General features: G+C 46.7%; 2 pseudogenes across 2 annotated transcripts in view, besides 3 other annotated features; one reads left to right on the forward strand and one right to left on the reverse strand.

Annotated features, from left to right (window-relative positions):
* Positions 1-11,227, reverse strand: part of DDX12P (DEAD/H-box helicase 12, pseudogene) — a 30,482-nt pseudogene extending 19,255 nt beyond the window's left edge. Inside the window, exons 1-5 of the transcript NR_033399.1 lie at positions 11,037-11,227; positions 6,590-6,737; positions 1,066-1,314; positions 458-544; positions 2-159 (exon numbers count right to left, since the gene is read on the reverse strand). The product of NR_033399.1 is annotated as a DEAD/H-box helicase 12, pseudogene (transcript). The remainder of the gene's footprint in view (position 1; positions 160-457; positions 545-1,065; positions 1,315-6,589; positions 6,738-11,036) is intronic.
* Positions 592-1,091: an enhancer, noted in NCBI's record as "H3K4me1 hESC enhancer chr12:9590133-9590632 (GRCh37/hg19 assembly coordinates)". NCBI's record gives its function as "activates a minimal SCP1, AML or CMV promoter by ChIP-STARR-seq in naive H9 embryonic stem cells {active_cell/tissue: H9 hESC(naive)}" and the evidence as "EXISTENCE:reporter gene assay evidence [ECO:0000049][PMID:30033119]".
* Positions 10,865-10,984: a silencer, noted in NCBI's record as "silent region_4227". NCBI's record gives its function as "represses an Ori minimal core promoter by ATAC-STARR-seq in GM12878 lymphoblastoid cells {active_cell/tissue: GM12878}" and the evidence as "EXISTENCE:reporter gene assay evidence [ECO:0000049][PMID:35858748]".
* Positions 11,090-11,310: a silencer, noted in NCBI's record as "fragment chr12:9600631-9600851 (GRCh37/hg19 assembly coordinates)". NCBI's record gives its function as "represses an EF-1alpha promoter that drives an FKBP-Casp9 reporter gene in an ReSE screen in phorbol 12-myristate 13-acetate-treated (for megakaryocytic differentiation) K562 erythroleukemia cells {active_cell/tissue: K562(+PMA)}" and the evidence as "EXISTENCE:reporter gene assay evidence [ECO:0000049][PMID:32094911]".
* OVOS1P (ovostatin 1, pseudogene) overlaps positions 11,342-24,611 on the forward strand; it is a 127,984-nt pseudogene continuing 114,714 nt past the window's right edge. The window contains exons 1-2 of the transcript NR_153413.2: positions 11,342-11,933; positions 24,379-24,489. The product of NR_153413.2 is annotated as an ovostatin 1, pseudogene (transcript). The remainder of the gene's footprint in view (positions 11,934-24,378; positions 24,490-24,611) is intronic.

Here is a 24,611-nt window from a genome sequence, read left to right on the forward strand (position 1 = left end):
CCCGCTCGCCACCTTTTTCTCCTCATCACTCTCGTATTCGGCGAGGACCAGCTCCTCCTCCCCAGACTCCAGCTGCTCCGGCCGCTCAGCCTCCGGGCCTGTCTCTAGCATCTCCCTGCTGAGGCGGAGGAGATTCTCTCTTTCTTCTTCTTCCTGCCTCTGGACAGGGGCAGTGGAGGTGGGGAGGGAGGAAGAAGTCTCAGCACCAGTACCCACCTCCCCACGTGCCAGAGACAAAGCACACCACGCCCATTCACATAGGCCTGGCTGCCTGGCTGGAGAGAGGTCGACTCCTAGGATCCACGCCTCAACCACTCACAGCCCAGCTTCTGTACGGGAGCACATAGCCAGTGAGGGTCATGGAGGGGAGACCAAGACCCTGGCCACGCACCCATGAGCCTCCAAGCAGGGCGACCCTGCCTGGACATAATCCTGCCCCCCAAGAAATGAGGCTCACCAGGCGCTTGGCTGCATACTTGAGCTGCACCCTGTGCTGCAGCTGCTGCAGGCGTTCTTCTCGCTGCTTCCTCCTGGCCTGCTCCGCCTACAGGAGGCAGACATGAAGGAAAATCACCAGGAAGCCCAAAACCAGGCCTCTCCTAAGGAGTCTGGGCCACTCAGCTCGGCGCCTCCTCACTGGGGGCAGCTCTCCTTCTCCAACCAGCACTCAAGGGCTGCCGCATCCCCTCCCGGGACCTCATCCCTGCAGGTCCCAGCCTCGCTGCTCACTGTGGAAGGCGGCACACTCCTCCCAAAGCCACACGCTCTCCATCAGATCCATTTGCAGCCACTGAACCATGCTGCCAATGGCAACGATCAGGTCCTTTCCCAGGTGAGTAATAAATGGGCACCAACAGTTCCTTGTGTGGAGAAGGCCCTGCTGACCTCCAGCTCAAAAGAGACAGCACAGCGGCAGCACCATCGACCCAAGGAGCTGAGGGAAGAGCTGAGAGGCACAGCAACGGCAGGGGAGCATGCACTGCCTGAGTCTCGGAATCGCCCCACAACAATCGCTGAAGCCCTGTTTCCTCCAGCACTCCCACTTCCGGATACCCCAGGTCTCACCTTCAGTCGGTTCACCAGGTCCCTCTCTTCTTTCTTCTGCACAAACTGAGTAACCCAGGCCGGTTCTCCAGCAGGCCTCGGGGTGCCTGCAGCCCCTTCGCAGGAGGAAGACAGACACAGGGATTCATCTTTCTCATCATGTAAGGGGCCAGTTCCAGTTTCAAGGAGTCGTGCCTCTTCTTCACGCTTCTTCTGTTCAAAGTCACGGAGCCAGGAGAGGGCCCCACAAATAAGACTTAAGGACTTCCCCTGCAGGAAGAAAAATGATCTTTAGAAACAGGAAAACAACAAAGCCTCCCAAATGACCTTTCCCCATTTTAATAAAAGCTTGAAAGAAGGTCTGGCTGTACATAGGAGAGGATGCTCTAAGGCCAGCCTAGGAAAGGAAAGGAAGGAAATTAGCACTAGAATAGCCAGGAAAAACAGAAAAAAGGAAGAAATGGAAACTGGGCCCAAGAAGCAGGAAAAAGCTTCTTTAATTATCCAGCTCACTGTTCTGAAAACAAATTTGAAGCAGTTTATCAGATTCTATGTAAATATCGCACATAATTAGAAGAAGGGGAGACATTAGACAAAAAGTCCCCTAAAAGAATTAAGGCCCCAAACTGCTGAGCAAGAAATCCCAGGTACTCGCCAACGGGGAGCCACAGTGACCGCGCGGCCTTCGTGCAGCTCGTGCGTGGATACAGGATGATCAGTCACGAGTGCCAGTGTTTACGGTTTGTGTTTTTTTTTTTTTGTTTTTTTGTTTTTTTTTTTTTAAAGCAAACTAATCACTCTGGAACACCACTTTTTTTGTCTGTTTTTGAGAGGAGGTCTTGCTATGTTGCCCAGGCTGGTATGGAACTCCTCCTGGGCTCACACAATTCTCTGGCCTCAGCCTCCCAAGTGGCTGGGACCATAGGTGTGCGCCTCCACATACAGACTGGAGAAGACTACTCTTGACTTAAGACCAGAATTGTCCATAAGCCTGATTGAATTGTATTCCTCCAAATTCCTGTGTTGAAATCCTAACCCCCAGCATCTCAGAATGTGGCCTTATCTGGAAATAGGACTGTCACAAATGTAATTAGTTAAGATGAGACTACTAGGACGGGACCCAGCCTAAAGGGCTAATATCCTTATTGGAAAGGGGACACGTGGATGCAGACATGCACAGAAGGCAGGCGATGTCATGATACCCAAGGAGAACACGCCCCTATAAGCCAAGGAAAGGGGCCTGAAGAGATCTTTCCCTCGCGACCCTCAGAAGGGACCAAGCATGCTGACACCTTGATCTCGGACTCCAGCCTCCAGCGCTGTGGGATGTCAGTTTCTGTTGTTTAAGCCCCAGTTTGTGAAGCTTTCCTCTAGCAGCCCCAGGGAACCAATACAGTTCTTCCAGAGAGGACCCTTCAGGGAGCGCCACAAGGAGGCGGCCCTGGTGTCCACAGGGGAACTCAGCTCAGGGGAGTCTCTGGAGGACCCCATGCCTTCTGCTCCAGGCAGTCAGCTCTCTGAGCCTGCTGAACCCAGAGGGGATCTCAGAGTATCCAGGGCGGGGTGAAACACCTCGTATGACTAGGGTTGGGGCAGCAGCGCGGCGCAGGAGTCAGAGCCTCAAACTCCACAGCCAGGCGCCAGGGTTCCAGCTGCCTCCCCTACCTGCAGCTCTGTGGCTCAGGCTGGCCTCACTACGCTTGTTTCCACGAGTGCAGAAATGGAAATGACAACAGCAGCACCTTCCTCATAGAGCTGGTGCAAGCAGGACATTAACACACACAAAAGGCCAAATCCTCTGGATTAGAGGATTACCTGGCAAATAACAAGTGAGCGGTTGGAGTTAGCTAACTTTTTGCTATCATTAAGTAATAATAATAAAATTATTAATAGCATTATTCTGGAATATGGGATCTATTAGTTTTCACCAAAATCTTGAAAGGCCCTGGGATAGGATAGAATGACATTGCTGACAAATGGATGGATCCCATATTTTTAGGAAAGCCCCATATGTACCATTTCCCTCAGCTTTTGATAGAAAGTAAATGGCAAAGAGTTCCAGGCAGCATTTCCCAGCAGCACCTGGAGGGCGGCTCTTCTGTGCTGCCTGTGATATCGGAAGCAGACAGCTTCAGCTGTCACTGGGCTGGGAGACACAATGGTTAGAAAGCCAGTGCCCTCCATTTGAAAGTGAGCTGAGGAAGTTCCTAAGGGTATGGTCAAAGTTATCTTTCAAAAACAACCGTGGTATACTCCGGCACAACAGCAAAAGAATAACTGAGGCCCACTGTTTTCTACATCCTGTAATAAGACCACAAAACTTTTAGACTGGAAAATGTTAAAAGGATTTATAACCAAAGGCTCACCTTCCTGGGGTATCATCAACAGTTACATGATTTATGCCAAGATAAGCAAATTCATTCACTCTGAACACCTGCTGGTTGCAGCAAGCATGGGGCTCAGAGCTGAGAACACAAAGGTGCAGAGCCCCTAGAAAATGCTCACAAGTTCACATGTAACATACAATTCGAGGGCATCATAGATCCCCGCAAAGCATGCATTCCAGGTTGGAGGACTCCCGGAACTGCAGTGTTACACAAGGCACAGCACACACCAAGTGGTAATGGTGACTCAACTTGATAGACCTGTATAAGGCTTAAAAGGTGACTATCAAGGATAAACAGCATCTCGGGCAGCTAAGGTGGGGCACCTGTGCATCCAAGGCGGGGAAGGGCATGGTAGGCACAACAGGTAACACAGACCCCACTCAGGGTGTCCCACAGCATGGCTGCTCCTATGGGCTGGGGGACACCCAGGACAGGAGAAAACACTCTATTCAGGAGATGATTTAGAAGACAGAAGAATGTCAAAGGTAATAAAGCCACAGGGTACATTCACAGAGAGTGCACACAAGAAGATGAAGCTATAGAACCAGAAACATCGACAATTAAAGGCTGAGCATAGGAGGAAGATGCAGAAGCCTGGAGTGCAGAAGACTGAGATGGAAAGACCTGAGAGGCAGAAGATGGGTTGTCAGGCTAAACAAGGTAAAAGGGGTCAGGTACAGTGGCTCACGCCTGTCATCTCAGCACTATGGGAGGCCAAGGAGGGAGGATTGCTTGAGCCTAGGGGTCTAAGACCACCAGCCTGAGCAGCATAGTGAGATCTCATTTCTACAAATTAAAAAATTAGCTAGGTGTGATGGCGCACACCTGTAGTCCCAGCTGCTCAGGAGGCTGACGTGGGAAGATCACTTGATGCCAGAAGGTCGAGGCTGCAGTGAACCATGATCTTAACACTGCACTCGGCCCTGGGCAACAGAGCGACACCCTGTCTCTAAAATTAAACAAGGCAGAATGAACATGCACTCATCTGTGTTCCAAAGCACACTAAAATTAACCAAAGTAATATGGAGGCTTACACCCACAAAAACAAAGAAAGTGGAAGGAGTAATATGTTTTAGGAGAGAGGGAAAGAAGGCAGAGACATGGAAGTGATTCGGCAGAGACACTCAAGCCCAAGTGTCCCCAGAGATCTCCCCCACTCATTCTCAGAAAGACTCAGGAAGTGGTAGGAACACAGCAGGCCACTGAAAACAAAGGGACGGGTTGAAATTCTGTTTAAGAACAATTAGATTCCCAGGTTGCAATCCCTGCTCCTGCTCCTTGCAGAAGACAGGAAGTGGGCTCTAAGTGGAAGCTGAGCTAGGAGAACCCTGGAGGCAACTGGCAGATTGAGGAGGCAAGAGGGAGGGAGAGGAGGGTCAGGCTGAAAGCAGGCACTGAGGGGGACTCTCCACCTGGATCCCCTTCCCCAGACCACCTCCCGGAAGACCGGCTATTGGGCTTCAGCGTCTGTACCTGCTGGGCCAGAGCTCAGAGGCACCTGCTCTGGAGAGACCGAAGACTCTAGGGAAAATCCCACAGATGTGCTGGCAACTGGAGGCCCCCAACAAAGGAGCCCAGCCTGGCAGCCACAGCCAGCCTGCCCTGCAGACTCAGCCTTTCTGTGCCCTCTTCTTCAGCATACACAGGCAGTCCAGGGCTGCCAGACGTTTGAGGAAAGCCTCCAAACGGACATATACCCTGATGTGGTGTGGGTGCGGCCGTCTGTCCCCACTAACACTCATGCTGAAATCTGTCAAGTCAGTCTGAGGAGCAACTAATTCAAATGACAGGGAAAGGATGGAGTATTCCAGGAGGGCTCCAAGGTAAAAATGGAATTGGTCACTGCTGTGGACTGAATTGTATCCCCACCAAAATGCATGTTAAAAAAATGTTTTTAAAGAACAAAAACAAAACAAAAGAAGCTGTGTATGGTGGTGTGCACCAGTAATCTTGGATCTTGCCAGCCACCAGGTACTTGGGAGGCTGAGAGGGGAGGATCGCTTGAGTTTGAGACCAGCCTGGGCCACACAGTGAGACTGCCCATCTTAACAAACAAACATATGTTGAAATCCTAACCCTGCCATGTGACTGTACTACAGATCTGGCCTTCAAGGGTAAAGGAGGTCATAAAGGAGCAGCCATAAGGGAGCAGCCCTTGTCCTCATAAAAGAGAAAGAGACACCAAAGATTTGTTTTTCTCCTCCTCCTCTTTTCTTGCTCCACAATAAGAACGCAGCCATCTGCAAGCCAGGAAGAGACCCCCTCCCCAGAACCAGAACCCTGCCAGAATCTGGATCTTCAACTTTCCAGCCTCCAGAATGGTGAGAAAATAAATTCCTGTTAAGTCACCCAGTCTATGGTATTTTACTATGGCAGTCCTGGCCGACTAAGACAGGAGTTATCTGTATGGAAAATCATATTGAGAGGCCACTGGATGATGTGGGAGGAACTGGCATAGGTATATTAAAAACTAAACTAACTTTAAAAGGGCAATTATTAACTAGAAAAAACAGAATATTAAGACATATTGTTCAAGACAAAATTATGTTCAAAACATAATCATAACGCACTGGTTCACTCAGCAGAGACTAAAACTTAGAATTATATTTGAAGGATGGGGAACCGGAGGGAAAAGAGTTGGTAAGAAAGCCATCTCATCTACCGTAATAGGTAGGCACCAATGACTTCAGCCTAATTTTTCTCAGACCACAGAGCTATGTTTAAGACTTTAGGCCGGCACGGTGGCTCATGCCTGTAATCCTAGCACTTTGGGAGGCCGAAATGGGCGGATCACGAGGTCAGGAGACTGAGATCATCCTGGCTAACACGGTGAAACCCTGTCTCTATTAAAACTACAAAAAATTAGCCGGGCGTGGCGGCGGGCACCTGTAGTCCCAGCAACTCAGGAGGCTGAGGCAGGAGAATGACGTGAACCCGGGAGGCGGAGCTTGCAGTGAGCCGAGATCGTCCCACTGCACTCCGGCCTGGGCAAAAAAAAGACTTTAATAGAGGAAGTGAGTATTACTCAGAAAGATAAACTGAGAGAGACTACTCTGCCCAACTTCAAACTATGAAAATCTCTGGATGGGCAAACAGGAAAAGCTAGCACAGCTGCCGTAAAGTTGTCCTTTTCAGTATCTCTCACTGTTCATACTCACAGTGCCAGTTGGACTCTCAAATATCCCAATCTTGCCAGCCTCCAAAACCCGGTACAGCTCTGCCATGAAGTCTTCCTGGATGGAATAGGGTGTGAAGGGAAAAGGAAAATGGATGGCACCAACCTTCTGTGTTTCATTAGCCATGGACCTAGGAAAAATAAATACAACATTAGGGAGCTCTCTCATGGTCCAGGAAGAAGTGGCTTGAAATCTGGAGCATTATTTAAGAGCAGTCTCCACACTTGTTACCAAATTTCTCCTTTTTTTCTGGGAAGCAGAGACCATGTTCTCTCCATCCTTCGCAGGTCCACATGAGGCCATACCAGAATCACGCACTCCATCTAGCGGCATTTAACGGCTGTAGCAGAATGCAGACCAGGAAAGCCCCTAAACCCAATCTCCCCTGCATTTCACCGTGGCGCCGATACCTTTCTAATGCCTCTACAAAAGGCTTAGAGCTCTCTTCTCAAAGACCAGCACCCCTAAGATCAAGGGTGTTGCTCATAATGACTTTTGCAGCTTTCTTCTCCCACGTCTCTGCAATGCACATTCACAAGCCGAAGCTACTTCACTTTATCCCGTTGTGAAGTCCTGGAAAATCATGACGCACAGGCAGAGGACCATAAGCACAGCTTGTTTGGATAGCGCAAGTTAACATACACGTCCTTATCTTTTTTTTTTTTTTTTTTTTTTCCCAGACAGAGTCTCACTCTGTCACCCAGGCTGGAGTGCAGTGGCGCGATCTCGGCTCACTGCAAGCTCGCCTCCCGGGTTCACACCATTCTCCTGCCTCAGCCTCCCAAGTAGCTGGGACTACAGGCGCCCGCCACCACGGCCGGCTAATTTTTTTTTTTTTTTTTGGTAGAGACGGGGTTTCACCGTGTTAGCCAGGATGGTCTCGATCTCCTGACCTCGTGATCCGCCCGCCTTGGCCTCCCGAAGTGCTGGGATTACAGGCGTGAGCCACCGCACCCAGCCTACACGTCCTTATCTTACAAGTATCTTTAGTTTGCTTCTTAGTTCATCCTGGCCTCCATTTCCAGCACCGACCAGAGCCGCCACCTACTAACTTTTCTGGCCTCAAGACCTATGAGCTTTCTGTTTGGCTCCAGACAGGAGAGCTCTCTTCACAGCCACGGGGCTCTGGCTGGAACAGCTTCCCAGCACTGAGACCAGGCATTTCTCTTTCCTTGCTAGGCTAAGGTCTAAGAAAAACTCTGCTCCATGTTGACGTCATCTTTTTTTTTCTCCTCTTCTGAACCTAATTATCTGTGAGACAGTGATTCAAGGAAGAAAGGAGAAGTAAACGCTATCTGGAGGCCTGACTCTTCCATCCTGGTTCCCACACCTCTCTCTTTGGAACTCACTTCTCCAAGCTCTTTGCCAGGTCTGTCTCTTCTAAGCACAAATGTTAGTAAGTCCCAAACCCATTTTACTAATATTAGTAGATCGAGAGCCCATCTTTATAACTTTGGCCTCAATAAGACTAGTGATAGTGTCACTCTACGAGGGGAAAGGTAGTTGCCATGATGCTCTTCGGTTTAGGAGCAATTAAAATGACTACAGATTGGTGGCAGTTTATGGATTTGCACAAGAAGAGAACTCACAGAACTAGCATTATTTTACCCTCTGTCTTTACAGAGGTGTATTTGGCTGTTTTGTTAGACATTCTGGGGACAAGAAAAAATGAAAAAAGAAAAACATGACTACAGAGGTAGAGGAATTATTACAAGAAGGGTAATTAAAAAATATGACTTACAATTCAATCCTGAGAGAGGGGTATGTACTGAAAAAGCTTTAACACATGAAGGAAAGGGGAGGAAAGGTACCTAACAAATTTTTGAGTACCTCCTATGTGTTAAACACTCTACAGTGGTCTTTTGCTTTTATTATCTCATTTAATCTGTACAACACTATAAGGATACAGCTACTGGATACTGATGCTTACAGAAATTAAATAATTGCTCAAACTCACAGCTAAAAAGTGGAAAACCAGGGATTCGAATCCAGGTCCAAATGACTGTGCTTTAGTGAAGCTCATCCAGTCGCAAGAGATATCCAGCATAAGTAAAGGGAGGTTCACTGAAGGGAGGTTCACAAACTGAGAGTAAGAATTGAAACTATCTGGGAAAGCCAAAAACAGAAGCAGACTAGAGCTGCAAGGCAGCTCGGACTTCAAGACAGCTCCAGGAACGTCACCAGCAAACACACACCCACGGGGTTCACTCTCCTGCTCAGCCAGGCGCCGGATACAGCCACAATCTCACTCCCTCAGCGCACTCGGTTTCTGCTTATCCCAAACTTTCGCTTACACGTGGCCTCATCAGCCCCTGGACCTTTCAGCTTCAGCTCCCACTGCCAAGTAAAAAGTCTTCATGTCTCCTCGTTCTGAATCCCAAGACAAAAAGCTGACCAGCAGCTCCTCTCAAGACAGAGCACTGGTCAGCCTGAGACTGGTCTGGCTCCCAGCCTCATCTACTCAGCTCGGGCCTTGCACTTGCTGCTCCCCTTGGCCTGGAGAAGGAGTCCTCCTCAATATCCAGGCTTTGGCTCACCTCCTCAGAGAAGCCTCTCCGGCTGTCTGGCCGCTGGACAGTGGTCAAACACCACCCCCACTCCTCACCCCCTAGCTTGCTCTAAGTCACTTTTTAAAAATCACATTACTCTGTATTTAATTTATTCATAGCTCTTAGCACCATCTGAACCTATTTATTCTTCCTCACTGGAATATACATTCCATAAATAGAGGAACCTTGTCTGTCTTGCTCTTCTCTGGCTCCAGGACTCAGAACTAGGTGCTTCAACACCTCATAGGCATTCAACAAAAATCTGATGAATGAATGAGGAGCCAGCCAGACATCGGGGCTGTAAGTAAAGGTTTCTCTTCCGAGGCTGGGTAACGGAGGTCCCATGACTTGAATACCTATTAGTTAAATGGCCAGTTCTTTAATGGTTTCAAACCGTTTTCAGATAACCCCACAAAAACCCTGTGTGGTATTTTTATAAGCTCTATTTTATAGAGAAAGAAACTGAGACTCAGTAAACTTATATGACTTGCCCAAGGTCACTCAGCAAGTGCTTGAACTCAGGATTTGAACCACATCTGCCAGACCCCCAAGCCACCTGAAACTTTCTATCTCCTCACTTTTCCTCCCACCAGGGTAAGTGGGATAAAAAAGACAGATTTGGTGACCAAACTCTAGAATGACAACACTAAACAATACAGAAGAAATGTTAAGTATTATCTCACTTCCCCATCAGTGGTAATTATGGATCTCATTATTCCAGAAGCAGCACAGGCTAAATCATAGAGGTTTAGATAAATCTGAGTATAACGGATTCACTAAGCCCTATTAAAAACATTTGCAGTGACTTGTTCAGCCCTCTTCAGGTTGGCTGTGTGGAGGACAACCATCACCTCCCAGTGCCAAGGCACACACCAGGACAGCAAAGCTCATGCTCATAAAACGAGGTTAGAGTTGTGAAAGCACTTCAGGAACATATTAGTTCTTAACGTGTTCATTTTCTTCAGTCCCCAATTATCACTCATTACCGAGTACAGACTATTGTTGTGGGCTCAGTTGTGTCCTCCCCACATTGATCCTGGACATCCCAAGCCTCTGGGACTGTGAGAAAACACATTTCTGTGTCTAAGCCACCCAGTTTATGGTATTTTGTCATGACAGCCGGGGCTGACCAAGACAACTATGTGGCAGGTGCTACCTACCGTATGGCCCTAAAATGTTTTAACTTCACACACCTGGAAAGCACCACAGCCCCAAGAGAAAAGCTTTTCCGCACTGCTGTTAAGCCAGGGCCACATACTGCAGTGCTGCGGTGCTCCACCAGCTGGAGGATGGCCTGGCCCATAATACCCGCATTCCCACCTTGCTCTGGCCCTGTGTCCCCTCCAACGTGCATCCTGAGCTCGCACCCTGTGTGGAACCCAACCAGCTGCTTATCAACATTTAAGTCCACTTTTATGACACTTCCGTCAACAATCTGGTCAACTGCACTCATCCCTGGCCTCCGTACTGTACCCTGCTCCGCCTCGATTCCCGCCCTGGGGGAAGCTAGACTCACGCAGCTAACTTTATCGGCTCTGGGCTCTGATCGCCAAGTTTAGGATCCCAGCTGTATCCTTGCTAAAGTTAGTATCGCTGGGGCTCAGTTTCTGTAAGAGACAGGTGGGTTACAAGCGCTCACTCACTGTTGCAGTGTCTTATCTACGTAACATAATCCATGAAAAGCTCAACACAGCTAGGCCAAATCTAAGACCCAGACACGCGGCTGCTGTTAATGCCCACTCCTGCGCACCGCGCCGTTCCACCGCAGGCACAACCTTCCTAGGCCTGCCCCGTCCCCACACAGGGGTTCCCGCTTGTCAATCACGCTGGCCCAGCCCTCCACCTCCGGAATGTTTTCCCGCTCCGGACGGGCCACCCACCTTTGCAAACAGGGGTCCGGCGCCGGAACAGACGCCCAGTTTGCGATTTCACCAGTCTGCCCTTCCTCGTCCCGCTGCTCCTCGTCCTAAGGACCTCTGCTGCCACACAGCACTGCGCTCACCTTCTTCGCCGGCAGAATTGCTACGCTGAAAGCCAGGCCCCGGGAATCAGGGCAAACGCCACTGAATTTGAAACTGGCGGGTCCCCTCAGTGAAAGGCTGCCGGAACAACCCCCGCCGCTGCGCATGCGCACTCCGGGACGCGCGCGAACACGCAGCAGCCAGAATCCACAGGGGCGTGGTTTGCGCGCGCAGGAACTTGGATCTCAACCCCAGGGCTAGGTGCCTCCTCCCGCTGCTTTCCGCCAGCTGCGGGGTGTGAGATTAATCCCCGCCGATTAGCGCCAGGTGTACTAATCCCTGGATGGTTCCCTGACCAGATGAAACATCAGCCGATGTTCTAATGCCCGTCCCCTGGGCACTGTCCCCGAGAGGGAAAACCTGTTTTCTGACCCCGGCTCTAGTCGGCCTCTGGAGATCTGCAGCTGGGTTATTTTACTTCTGAAACGGACGACACCTGCCCCGCGCACCCCAGCGGCTCCTCCACACGGAGAGATGGTGTCAGTCAAAGGCCGTCTAGATGACGAGTTTATGAAATTGTTCCTGGCCCGTGCCGGGCACGACCTTGCAGAGAGCCCAGAAGATGAAACCCCAGCCCTGCCAGGAGCTCACCTGCTAATTAGGAGGACAACGAATCACCTCACCTCCCTAGACTTTGCTTCTCCTTTATTCAGTGAGGGATTGGACTAGCTGGTCCTTAAGGACTTTTCAGAAAGTCTGGTTCTGGGAGATGACCAATGGGATCATCTTATGCTATGAGCTTTCCTGGAATGACAGGTAATTGGTGCGCCTTCCCAGCAGGGTCAGGGAGAGTCGCTGGGACTTGAAGGGAAGGCTTTTGGGGAGAGGAGCCAGTGTTACAAACTATCGAAAAGCTTGGAGGTGGGAAATTTGCGAAAGGTGATTCCAGGGTCAGCTTTTTTGTCACCTGCTTCCGACTTCGGCAGTTTGGAGAGGGCGAGTAATACCCTTCAGGGTCTTGGGATGTGGCCCAGCAAAATCCTTAGAGGGTCTTTGGAGTCGTAGTTTTAAGTTTAGAATTAATGGGCAGAGTATTTAAATAGCCATTTCTCCAAAGATGTATACAAATGGCCCACAAACTCATAAAAATGTTGCATTCCACCCTATAACATGTTTTTGCATAAAAAATTTTTAAAATAACTGTTGTCTGGTAAATTGACACCTCTGGAATAGAAGGTACGCTAGGTTTTTTACCCTACTGCTTCAAACCCCATTCTACACACACACTCCTAGGGTGTGAATCATCCAGTTTAAGAAGCACCCTTGGAGAAACAGAAAGTTGATAGTGTGTCCAGAATTGATGAGTTCTTGGTCTCACTAACGCAAGACAGAAGCTACAGACCCTCACGGTGTTAGTTTTATAAAGGCGGTGTGTCTGGAGTTTGTTCCCTCGGATGTTCCAATAGGTTCGGAGTTTTTTCCTTCTGGTGGGTTTGTGGTCTTGCTGGCTCAGGAGTGAAGCTGCAGACCTTCGCCTGAGTGTTACAGCTTTTAAGACGGCGTGTACTGGAGTTGCTCGTTCACCCCGGTGGGTTCGTGCTCTCACTAGCTTCAGGAGTGAAGCTGCAGACATTTACAGTGAGTGTTACAGCTCGTAAAGGCAGTGCAGACCTAAAAAACAAAAAGAACAAAGCTTCTATACTCTGGTAAGACAATCCCAGTGAGTTACTGTTGCTGGCTTAGGGCAGCCTGTGTTTATTCTCTTCTCTGGCCCAACCCACATCCTGCTGATTGGTCCATTTTACAGAGAGCTGATTGGTCCATTTTACAGAGAGCTGATTGGTCTGTTTTACAGAGTGCTGATTGATCCGTTTTGACGGGGTGCTGATTGGTGCGTTTATAATCCCTGAGCTAGACACAAAAGTTCTCCAGGTCACCGCTAGATTAGCTAGATACAGAGTGTCGATTGGTGTATTTACAAACCGTGAGCTAGACACAGAGTGCTGATTGGTGCATTTACAAACTTTGAGCTAGATACAGAGTGCCGATTGGTGCATTCACAATCCCTTAGCTAGACAAAGGTTCTCCAAGTCCCCACCAGATTAACTAGATACTGAGTGCCAATTGGTTCATTCACAAACCCTGAGCTAGACACAGGGTGCTGATTGGTGTGTTTGCAAACCTTGAACTAGATACAGAGTGCCGATTGGTGTATTTACAATCCCTTAGCTAGACATAAAGGTTCTCCAGGTCCCCACTAGACTTAGGAACTCAGCTGGCTTCACCAAGTGGATGCGGCAGGGGGCAGCAGGTGGAGCTGCCTGCCAATCCCGCGCTGTGCACCGGCACTCCTCAGCCCTTTGGGGGTTGATGGGACTGGGCACCGCGGATTAGGGGGCGGCGCTCGTCGGGCAGGCTCCGGCCGCGTAGGAGCCCATGGCTGGGGCGCCGGCGGGCGGCTCAGTCATGGCGGGCTGCTCAGTCATGGTGGGCTGCAGGTCCCGAGCCCTGCCCCGCGGGGAGGCAGCTAAGGCCCGGCGAGAAATGGAGCACGGCAGCTGCTGGCCCAGGTACTAAACCCCTCACTGCCCCGGGCTGGCGGGCCGGCCGCTCCGAGTGCGGGGCCCGCCGAGCCCACGCCCACCGGGAACTCGCGCTGGCCCGCAAGCGCCGAGCGCAGCCCCGGTTCCCGCCTGCGCCTCTCCCTCCACACCTCCCTGCAAGCTGAGGGAGCTGGCTCCGGCCTTGGCCAGCCCAGAAAGGGGCTCCTACAGTGCAGCTGCGGGCTGAGGGGCTCCTCAAGCGCGGCCAGAGTGGGTGCCAAGGCCGAGGAGGCGCCAAGAGCGAGCCAGGGTTGCGAGGGCTGCCAGCAGGCTGTCACCTCTCAATAGGACGTGAAGGTCGGTCGGGGTCTGGTTGTAGAAGGCTTTAAACAACAAGCTAATAAATTTATACTTCACACTGTAGACAAGTTGCAAGTCACTGAAACATTTTTAAACAGAGGAGTGGATTTGCAAATGCAGTGTCTTGGAAATAGTAAGCTGGAAGCAGTGTGAAGGATGGTTTGGAGAGACCAGAAGCAAGCAGCCAAGTTGGGTTGTGCAGTAAACCAAGCAGTGCAGTAGAGGCTTAGACCTCAAGAGTGACAATAGACATGGAGAGGACAAAGGCCGTACCCACCAGGCTGTAAATCTGCATTGTGTCCCTCCATCCTCCCCTCGCTTCTGCCCTGGAGGCTTATATTTAGAGAGCTGTACTCCTAACGTGAGGCCCTGGGCTTTGTCTCAAAGGTAAAGGCAAAAGTTCCTTATGTGGACTACCTCTGCATTTGTTATTAAACAGCCTTAGATGATGCCATTAATTGAATGAACTCAGAGGCCTTCTTGATAAACTCTCAAAACTCAGGGCTTAGGAAGAAAAGTGCTTGTACTAATGTAGAAATATTTTCTATAACCGGACAGTAAGAGCTATAGAAACCCATTATGCATTCTTCTTTGCCTTCACTGCTAGTGATCTCAGGGCTAAATATTGTACATTGTTTTAGTTTTCTTCGGCAAGCATTTTTTAATTTTGTTGTTGTTGTTCTCATTCCTTCTTGCTAATTTTAAGTGCATTTTCTAATAAAGTCTGACTGCCTGGTGGGCAGATCACGAGGTCGGGAGATCGAGACCATCCTGGCTAACACGGTGAAACCCCGTCTCTACTAAAAATACAAAAAAAAAAAAATTAGCCGGGCGTGGTGGTGGGTGCCTGTAGTCTCACCTACTTGGGAGGCTGAGGCAGGAGAATGGCGTGAACCTGGGAGGCGGAGCTTGCAGTGAGCCGAGATCACGGCACTGCACTCCAGCCTGGGCGACAGAGCGAGACTCCGTCTCAAAAAAAAAAAAAAAAAAAAAAGTCTGACTGCCTGGATCCAGATATTCCCCACTCCACCATTCAACTGGCTGAATGACCTTGGCCTATGACTTAAGCCTTCTGAGTCTCTGCTTTTCTCACGAATAAAATAAAGATAATAATAGGACCTATGTTCTAGAATTCTTATGAGATAAGTGAGATAATCCTGGTAACATAAAGGGCTTAACATCTTACATGTCATTGTGGAAGCTTAACAAATGGTAGCTATTACTGATATGAATTGGGTTTGGTTTCAGCGTTCCTCTGCTTTTATTATAAATTTCCTTAGATCCTCTTCTAGAAGGAGAGCATGTAGGAGGTACAAGTTTGTTTTCAACAAGCAATTCTCTCGGGAACTAAGAGTGAGAACTGAGTCACTTCTGCCATAAGGGCAGCAAGCCTTTCATGAGGGATGTACCCCCATGGTCCAAACATTGCCCACCAGACGCCACCTCCAACACTGGAAATCAGATTTCAACATGAGACTTAGGCCAAACAAACCACATCCAAACTGGAACACCTAGGTAGTGGGAAAGGCTCATGAAATGTGCCTGTGCTATAAGAGAAAACATTATTAGAGACTAGATTGTTCTGTCCCCAAAACCCTATATGCCTCACTGTGGAACAGCGCAAGATGCACCCTAATAATATTTACTTCTCTGAACCCCAGTTTCTTGGATTATTATGTCTATCTTGATATGTTACTTTAGCTCATTAAGCCACACCGTAGTGGGGGTGGGACATGTTGTTTCTTCACATAATAGGTTGATGTACTTAGTCAAACTAAATTTTCAGTGGTGTTTGAAAATGGGGGGACTAGAACTGAGGAAGGTGGTAAAAGCTGGATATATGGATTTGATCACCCCTGGGAAACAACAACAACAACAAAAAACATCTAAACTAAAGCTGTGGAGGTAGTAAGATTACTGAAAGGAAAAGTTTCCAAAAAGAAGGAGGTATCCACATATAAAAGAATGAAGTAGGATCCTTGTCTTATACAATATATCCAAATTAACTTAAGATGGATTTTCTAAAGTTAAAATGAAGTTAAAAATTAAAGTTAAAAGCTATAAAACTATAAAACTGGTAGAAGAAAACAGAGGGGAAAAGCTTTATGACATTGCATTTGGCAATGATTCCTTGGCTATGACACCAAAAAGCACAGGCAACAAAAAAATTGATGATGAGTTGAGGGATTTGTAAAATAACATAAAAATAGATGAATTGGACAACAACAAAAGTTACAACTTCTGTGCATTGAAGGACAGGATCAACAGAGTGAAAAGGCAGCCTACAGAATGGGAGCAAGTATTTGTAAATCATCTATCTGATAAGGGGTTAATAACCAGAATATATAAAGAACTTCTGTATCTCAGCAACATGAAAACAATCTGATTAAAAAAATGGGCAAAATACTTAAATAGATATTTCTCCAAAAAAAGATGTGCAAATGGCCCACAGGCACATGAAAAGATGCTCGACATCCCAGTCACTGGGAAAATGCAACTCAAAGCCACGATGAGGTACCACTGCAATCCACTGGGATGGCTACTATTGCACACACACACACACACACACACACACACACACACAGCCAGGCACAGTGGCTTATACTTGCAATTCCAGCACTTTGGGAAGCTGAAGCGAGAGGATAACTTGAGGGCAGGTGTTCAAGACCATCCTGTGTAACATAGTGAGACCAGATCTCTGCAAAAAATTTAAAAAAATATTAGGGGGTAATCGTGGCACACACCTGTAGTCCCAGCTACCCAAGAGGCTGAGGTAGGAGGATTGTGTGAGCCCAGGAGTTCAAGGCTGTAGTGAGCTATAATTGCACCACTGCACTCCAGCCTGGGTGACAGAGCAAGACCCTGTCTCAAAAAAAAAGAAGAAAGAAAAAACCTCAACCCAAAAGGAGCAAAACAAAAAATAAATGATGGCAAGGATATAGAGAAATTAGAAATTTGTACATGGCTGGTGGGAATGTAAAATGGTGTAGCCGCTATGGAAAAAAATTAAAAATAGAATTACCATATGATCCAACAATTTCACATCTGGGTTTGTAAACAACAGAAGTAAAAGCAGTGTCTTGAAGACATTTTTGCACACCTGTGTTTATAACAGCATTATTCGCAACAGCCAAAAGGTAGAAGCAACCCAAGTGTCTATTGACAGATGAGTGGATAAAGTGTGGTATATACATACAATGGAATATGATTCAGTCTTGGAAGGAAGTTCTGACACATGCTATGACATGGATGAGCCCTGAGGCTATTATTTGTATTAGGGTTCTCCAGAGAAACAACCAGCAGGGTGTGTGTGTGTGTGTGTGGGTGTGTGTGTGTGTGTCTATCTACACAGCGAAAAAGAAGCTTAAAGAATTAGCTCATGCAGTTGTAGAGGACTGGTGAGTGAAAATCTGATTGTATTGACTGGCAGGCTGGAGACCTAGGGAAGAGTTATGGTTCAAGGCCAAAGGCAGTCTGCTGGCACAACTCCTTGTTCAGGGGAAGTCAGTCTTTGCTCTAGTAAGGTCTTCACCTAATTGAATGAGGTCCACCCACATTATGGAGGGTAATCTGCTTTACTTAGAGTCCATTGATTTAATTGTTAATCTCATCCAAAAAACACCTTCACAGAAACACCCAGAATAATGTTGGCCAAATGTATGGGTACGGTGGCTCAGCCAAGTTGACACATAAAATTAACCATCACATTATACTCAGTGAAAAAGCCAGTCAAAAGACAAATACTGTATTATTCTACTTACATGAGGTTGCTAGAGTAGTCAGATTCATAGAGACAGAAAGTAGAAGAGTGATTGTCAGGGGCTGGGGGAAGGGCAAATAGGGAGTTGTTTTACGGGTGTAAGAATTTCAGTTTTGCAAGAGGAAAAGTTCTGGAGACTGGTCGCACAACAATGCGAGTATGTCCAACATGAATGAAGTGTACATTTGAACAGGGTTAAGGTACATTTTATTATGTATATTTTCTTAAAAGTTTTTGAAAAAAAATGAGGAAGAGAGAATGACCTTTAAGAAATGTCCACATTTGAAGATGGGAAAGGAAGATGAGAGAATGATGAATCAGTGAAATAGAAGGCAGTTTACAGCTATCTGAGCCAAAGGACAAAATGATCAACACTGAAATATAGTACAGTCAAGGTGAACACTAATTAGAAAAAAGTCTCCTGGGTGTGATCATTCAAAGGGCAACTGCACTGAGTTGAGTGTTAATACATTAGTTTGAACAAAACCACTTTGCACGGTGAAGATGACTCTAGGTGATGTGGTTAAAGGAGGAAACCTGGAGGGGCGGAGAGAAACAGGAGAGGAATGGACTTGAGGGTGGAAGGAAAGGAGACCATGCAAAGGAAGACCCTGGAGATACAGATAAAGTGAGAGGGCCACTTTTGCCTCTGCCTTTGACATTTCCTCCTGCCGGGTAGCCTGACTTGGTCAAGATTCTAAAAGTTACGAGATAAGGGGCCCCATAAATCAGACTAAGCTGGGGCAGCTGCCCTAAGAATGTGCAGCTAGGGACTGGTGGCAAGAAACAGACCATGGCAGGTTTGGAGAGATCCTCAAGGAGTCCAAGCCTGAAGTAAATTGCAGTGGAAACCAAAATGTCAAAGACAAAGTACAAAGCTAGGCTGAAGGCCAAGTGGACAAATGCCAATGCACAGTCACGGGCTGCATAACGATATTTCAGCCAACAACAGACTGCATACAGGAAGGTGGTTCCATAGATTATAACAGAGCTGAGCAATTTCTGTGACCTAGTGGCATAGTAACTATCATAACATGGTAGCACAACGCATGACTCACATGTTTGTGGTGGTCCTTGTATAAGCAAACCTGAGTTGCCAGTGTATAAGAGTATAGCTTGGAGAGTTACATACGGTACACAATACTTGATAATGATCATAAATGACTGTTACTGGTTTATGTGTTTACAATACTTTTATTATTATTTTAGAGTGTACTCTTTCTAGTTTTGTTTTGTTTTTGAGACAGAGTCTTGCTCTGTTGCCCAGGCTGGACTGCAGCAGCATAATCATAGCTCACTAAAGTGTTGAACTGGGCTCACGCCATCCTCTCACTTCAGTCCCCCAAGTAGCTGGACAACAGATGCACACTATCACACCCAACTAATTTTTTTTATCTTTACTTTTTGTAGAGACAGGTTCTTGCTCTGTTGTCTAAACTGATCTTGAACTCCTGGCTATATGTGATCCTTCTACCTTGTCCTCCCAAAGTACGGGGATTACAGGTGTGAGCCACCATGCCCGGCCTCTGCTTTCCAAAAACGAAGCTGACTGAAAAGCAGATTCAGCCAAGATCCTTCAGGAAATATCCCAGAAGGAAGCATTGTTATCATAAGACGCGGCAGCTTCATACGTGTTACTGCCCCTGAAGACCTTCCAGTGGGACAACACGTGGAAGACAGTGATATTGATGATCCTGACCCTGTTTAGGCCTGAGCTAATGTGTGTGTTTGTGTCTTAATTTTTAACAGAAAAGTTTAAAAACTAAAAAAAATTTTTTTTAAATAGAAAAAAGCTTATAAAGAAAAGCTTTACAGTTGTGTTTTAAACTAAGCGTTATTACAAGAGTCAAAAAGTTTAAAAAATTAAAAGGTTTATAAAGTGAAAGAGATACAGAAACCTAAGGTTAATTTACTGAAGAAAGAACAATATTTTAACAAATTTAGTGTAGCCTAAGTGTCCACTGTTTATAAAGTCCACAACAGTGTGCAGTAATGTCCTAGGCTTTCACCTGCATGCAACACACACTCCCTGACTCACCCAGAGCAACTTCCAGTCCTGCAAGCTCCATTCATAGTAAGTGCCTGTGTGTGGAAAAACCACCTCCAATGTGTTTTTCTTCTGCTCTCACACCACAGCAACCATCAACATGGAAGACTTCTATGACCACATACAGGGGAATTTCTCCCCACACACCAAGCAAGCAAGCAGTTCTGGAGGGGACACCAGCTAGGTGTCCTCCAGTTCAATTGTGACACCGCCTACCTGGAGATAGCATCAGATCCCACAGGTTGTAGGCTCAGTCTCCCAAGACTGTCCCCTCCTTCCCAAGATAGCAAGTCCAGGTCTCTAGAACATCTGACCCACCAGCTTCAAGTTGGGGTTCCTATGACCTCTTCTTTGTGTTTGATTAATTTGCTAGAGTGCTCACACAACTCAGGGAAACACTTATGTTTACTGGTTTATTACAAAGGGTATTTTACATGATACAAATAAACAGCCAGTTGAAGAGATACATAGGGTGAGTCTGGAGGGGTCCCTAACCCAGGAGCTTCTGTGGAGTTGGGGTGTGCCACCCTCCTGGCATAGGGAAGAGTTTTGTCAGCCTCCACGTGTTCAGCTTTCCAGAAGCTCCCTGAGCCCTGTCCTCTTGAGCCTTCAATGGAGACATCATTGGGTAGACATGATTGACAACCATGTACAAATACAACTGGACCAGAAGGGATGATCTAACACTAGTTGTATGAGATAGGATAACCCACCAAGGCTTATCCAGATTCTTCTTGGCCTCTCTGTGCAGCATTCTCACCTCCTAAGGATGGGCAGGACCCTCTCTGGAATGAGGATCTTATAATGTGCAGAGTCCTGCCTTGGGCAGGTGAAAGGAGGGCAGGAGAAAGTCAGAGACAGAGAGTCTGTTTTCTGAGCCTAAAGTGTCCCAGCACTGTAACAAGACTATAATGAGGGCCATAGAAGTTATGAGCCAGGAACCCTGGGCAAAGACATGTAAATACTATAATGCTATAGTGCCCTTTAGAGGCATACCACTTTTATCTTTCAAACCATATGTTTACTGTACCTTTTCTTTGTTGAGACATTTGGAGACACAGATACCATCATGTTGAAGTTGCCCACAGTATTCAGTATAGTCATGTGCTGCACAGGTCTGTAGCTTAGGAAATGTAAACTAAAGAAAAATGACCAAGGTGAGTCCTGATCATTTTAGGTTTATTTGCTGAGGTTGAGGACATGCCCAGGAAAGAACGTAGATCCACAGGAAACATTGTGTTTCATGCTTTTTCCAAAGAGGGTCTTGGGATCCCAATATTTAAAGGGAAAAGGCCAGGTATTGAAAGAAGAAGATACATTTTTAAAAGGGTATGGGTAGATACGAGGCAAGCAGTTGCATTCTTTTTGAGTCTTTGATTAGCCTTCACATGTAAGAGGGTAGGGGAACAGTCACTTAAACATTCATCTAGTTCAATGAATCTGCATTTTTACATAAGATAAACAGGCAGGGGGAGCAATCAGATATGCATTTGTCTCAGGTGAGAAGAGGGATGACTTATGTGTCTTGTTCCATGCCTGTGAAGATAAGCCATCAATTTACATGGTCAGGGTGAAATTCAACGTAACTATCTTAGGGTAAATATCTTGGGGGCCCATAAAGAATTTCCTTAGTTTTTCTTTAATGTTATTGAATGACTGTTGGCATTCCACTGTCTAATATAAAGGTTCCGACTCTGACATTTTAAATGCCTCAGATAAGTGCTTTACTAGGAGACCAAAATTAGGGATCAAAGGTGACAAAAGCCAACTATACCTAAGACTCCTTTTAGTTATCTGATTTTTGAGAGCCTTGATAGTGGCTATTGCTTGTTACCTGTCAGGCATCAGACTCTGCCTACCTTATTGCAGGCAAACCCCTGAATAGACTACCTGCTCTTTGCATATTTGCAAAGAGATACTTTATGATCCAATTCCACCAGGCTGTTTAAAACTAGTATTGGCCGGGTGCGGTGGCTCACGCCTGTAATCCAGACACTTTGGGAGGCCACAGTTGAAGGATCGCTTAAGCATAAAAGTTCAAGGCCAGCCTGGACAACACTGTGAGACTCCATCTCTACAACAAATACATTTTAAAAATTAGCCATGTGCAGTGGCACACATATGCAGTCCCAGCTACTTGGGAGGCTAAGGTGGGAAGCTCGCTTGAGCCTAGGAGGGCAAGGCTGCAGTGACCCATGATCACACCACTGCACTCTAGCATGGGTGGCAGAGTGAGACCTTGTTTCAAAACAATCAAACAAAAACTGGTATAAACAGTCTTCATAAGTGGGGCTAGCAATGAGTAAATTACCCATGCATTGTAATAGTATTCCCCTGTTTAATTGCAAGCTTCTCAAATCTTTTAGTAAGATTTTTTTCAAAAATGGTAAAGGAATACTTAAATATTTGGGCAGTACAGTCTAGCAGTTTTGGAAGTTTGCCCTAGTCTCCAGATCTTGCCATTCAAGTGCAAAAACAACTGGGCTTTCTCCTCAATTAGTAGACACTGAACAAAAGCATCCTTTAATTCCTATGCTGAGAACTAGCCATAATCCCCTGGGGTAGCTGTAAGTGGGGTATATGGGTTAGCCACGATTGGGTGGGTATCTTGAACGATGTCATTAATAGCTCTCAAATTTGCACAAATTGATACTAATTGGAGTTTGGTTTCTTCACTGGCAAGATAGTGGTATTGTATTGAGACTGTCATGATTGAATAAGTCTGTGCTTTAGAAACCTGTGTAATCCCCCTGTATGACTTCTAATTCTTTACCTTTTAAGCAGTGTTGTTTTTATGTGGAATTAATGCCTTTTTAAATTCAACGTGCACAGGCTGAGCTTTGACTGCTAGTTCAGGTTCCCTGTCTTCCCAAACAGTGCTACTCCCTCTGTTGTAGACTTCCAGCAGGAATGGTTCTTGAGTTCTTTTCTCTGGCTGAATCACCAGTGCCTGTAGGCATAGGACATGTTTGGGTGATACCTGGATTCTTAGATGTTGTTTCTCAGGAGCAAAAGTGACGTGGGCATTTAATTTACATAACAAATCTTGGCCCAACAATGGAATAGGGCAATGTGGCATATACAGAAAGCTATACCTCAATCTTATATCCCTCAATTTACATTCTTAGGGCTTAAGAAAGAGTCTCTGTTGTAACTTCCCAGTGACTCCAGCCTTGGCTGGAAACATTGCGACAGTATCAACCAATAAGCCAGTCATTTTGTTCCCCACTGTCGCTTGTACCCAGGGCTCCTGTAGGGAAATTATTGTTGCTCTGTTAAATCAGGCGGAGTCCCTGTGCCCAATCAGTCTTCATCAGAGTCACAATCCTGCTCCACCATCTCCTTCTTTGGCGTATATTTCCCTTTTCCTCTCCCTTGTCTTTTTTATTACCATCTTTTCTCTGTAGGTTTGGGGGGCATACTTCTCATGTCCAGATTTCCCCACTGTAGGCACACTGGTCCTTGTCTAGGGATTCCTTTCTATTTCACCCCTCATTCTTCCACCTTTTTGAATAGTCTCCACAAAAATGGTTGCCTGTCTAGCTTTTCTTGTTTCTCTAGCATTGAAGTCTTTGTAAGCAATATCTGTAAACTGGGAAGGGTTCATTCCAACAGTCCCTTCCTGCTTTTCTAATTTTCTGTTAATGTCAGAAGCACTTTGGCTGATGAAAGTTATATTTATGACCCAAACATGTTCCAGAGCCTCTGGATCAATATCTGAATATTTTCTGTAAGCCTGATACACTTGTTCCAACCAAGCGGCTGGGTTTTCATTGGCCTCCTACCAGAGGTCATGGATGTTTTTTATTGAGGCTTTGCTGCTTAGGTACTCCCTTTCTTAGGAGTAATCCTACAGTCAAGATATAACCTCATTATTAAGGTTTCACTTGAGTTTCACTAAGGAAATTGCCTCTGGGGTGTTGGAGGACCCAGCAGGGTCTTGCTGGTATAGCCTTCTGGCTCCATCATTAGTCTTGTCTAAAAATAACCCCCTTTCATCATAAAATTTAATAATGCTTGTACACCTGCTATTGTGGAATGATGAGTAGAAAAAATACTGGTGAATATTTCAGTCATCTCCTATGGATCATCCCTATAGGATGGACTTGAATATTTTTCAATTTACTTAGTCAAAGATAGAAAATGGTGAATAACCAAAATAGCCCAGGAGTATGGCCCTGTGCGTTTAATCCTCCAGCGGGGAATTTGCATAACAGAAATTGTTCTGCCACATGAGGGTGTACGCTCTGGTCAAATTTAGTTGCCTTGTCAGGTCTTAAAAGGGGAGCCTATTTCTTGGCTACCTTTAAAATGAGGAGGGGCCACCACACCCTGTAAGTCTGTATTATCTGGATAATCCTCTGGTGGAGGGGGCAGAGATGGGGCAACTCAGGGTACTGTGCTGGTACTGCAGCTGGGGCCTCCATGGGAACTTGCACAGGCACCAGAGCAGGCTGCAATGGGACAGGCACCTGCAAAGCCTCAGCATCATTTGCCTGTGGAGGGTTTATAGTTGATAAGATTATCCTATCTCCTTCTCTTCCTCCTCAGGTAATGGAGAGTGAGGAGATTTTACCTGATATGGTCCTGTTTGCACCGTCAGCCAGCAACCTTTCTGGGAAGCATGCTTATTATGTACCAACATAGAAGCTTGAATATAAGGTATGCAGTCCCAATTTCCTGATCTCAGATTGAAATGTTCAAGCTGTAAATTCAAAGAACCATGTAATGGCCACCTATCTTCCTCATGTATCACGTACATTGGCCACACCTTATTGCAGTAG

This window comes from Homo sapiens, chromosome 12 (assembly GCF_000001405.40).
Source record: "Homo sapiens chromosome 12, GRCh38.p14 Primary Assembly".
NCBI lineage: Eukaryota > Metazoa > Chordata > Mammalia > Primates > Hominidae > Homo > Homo sapiens.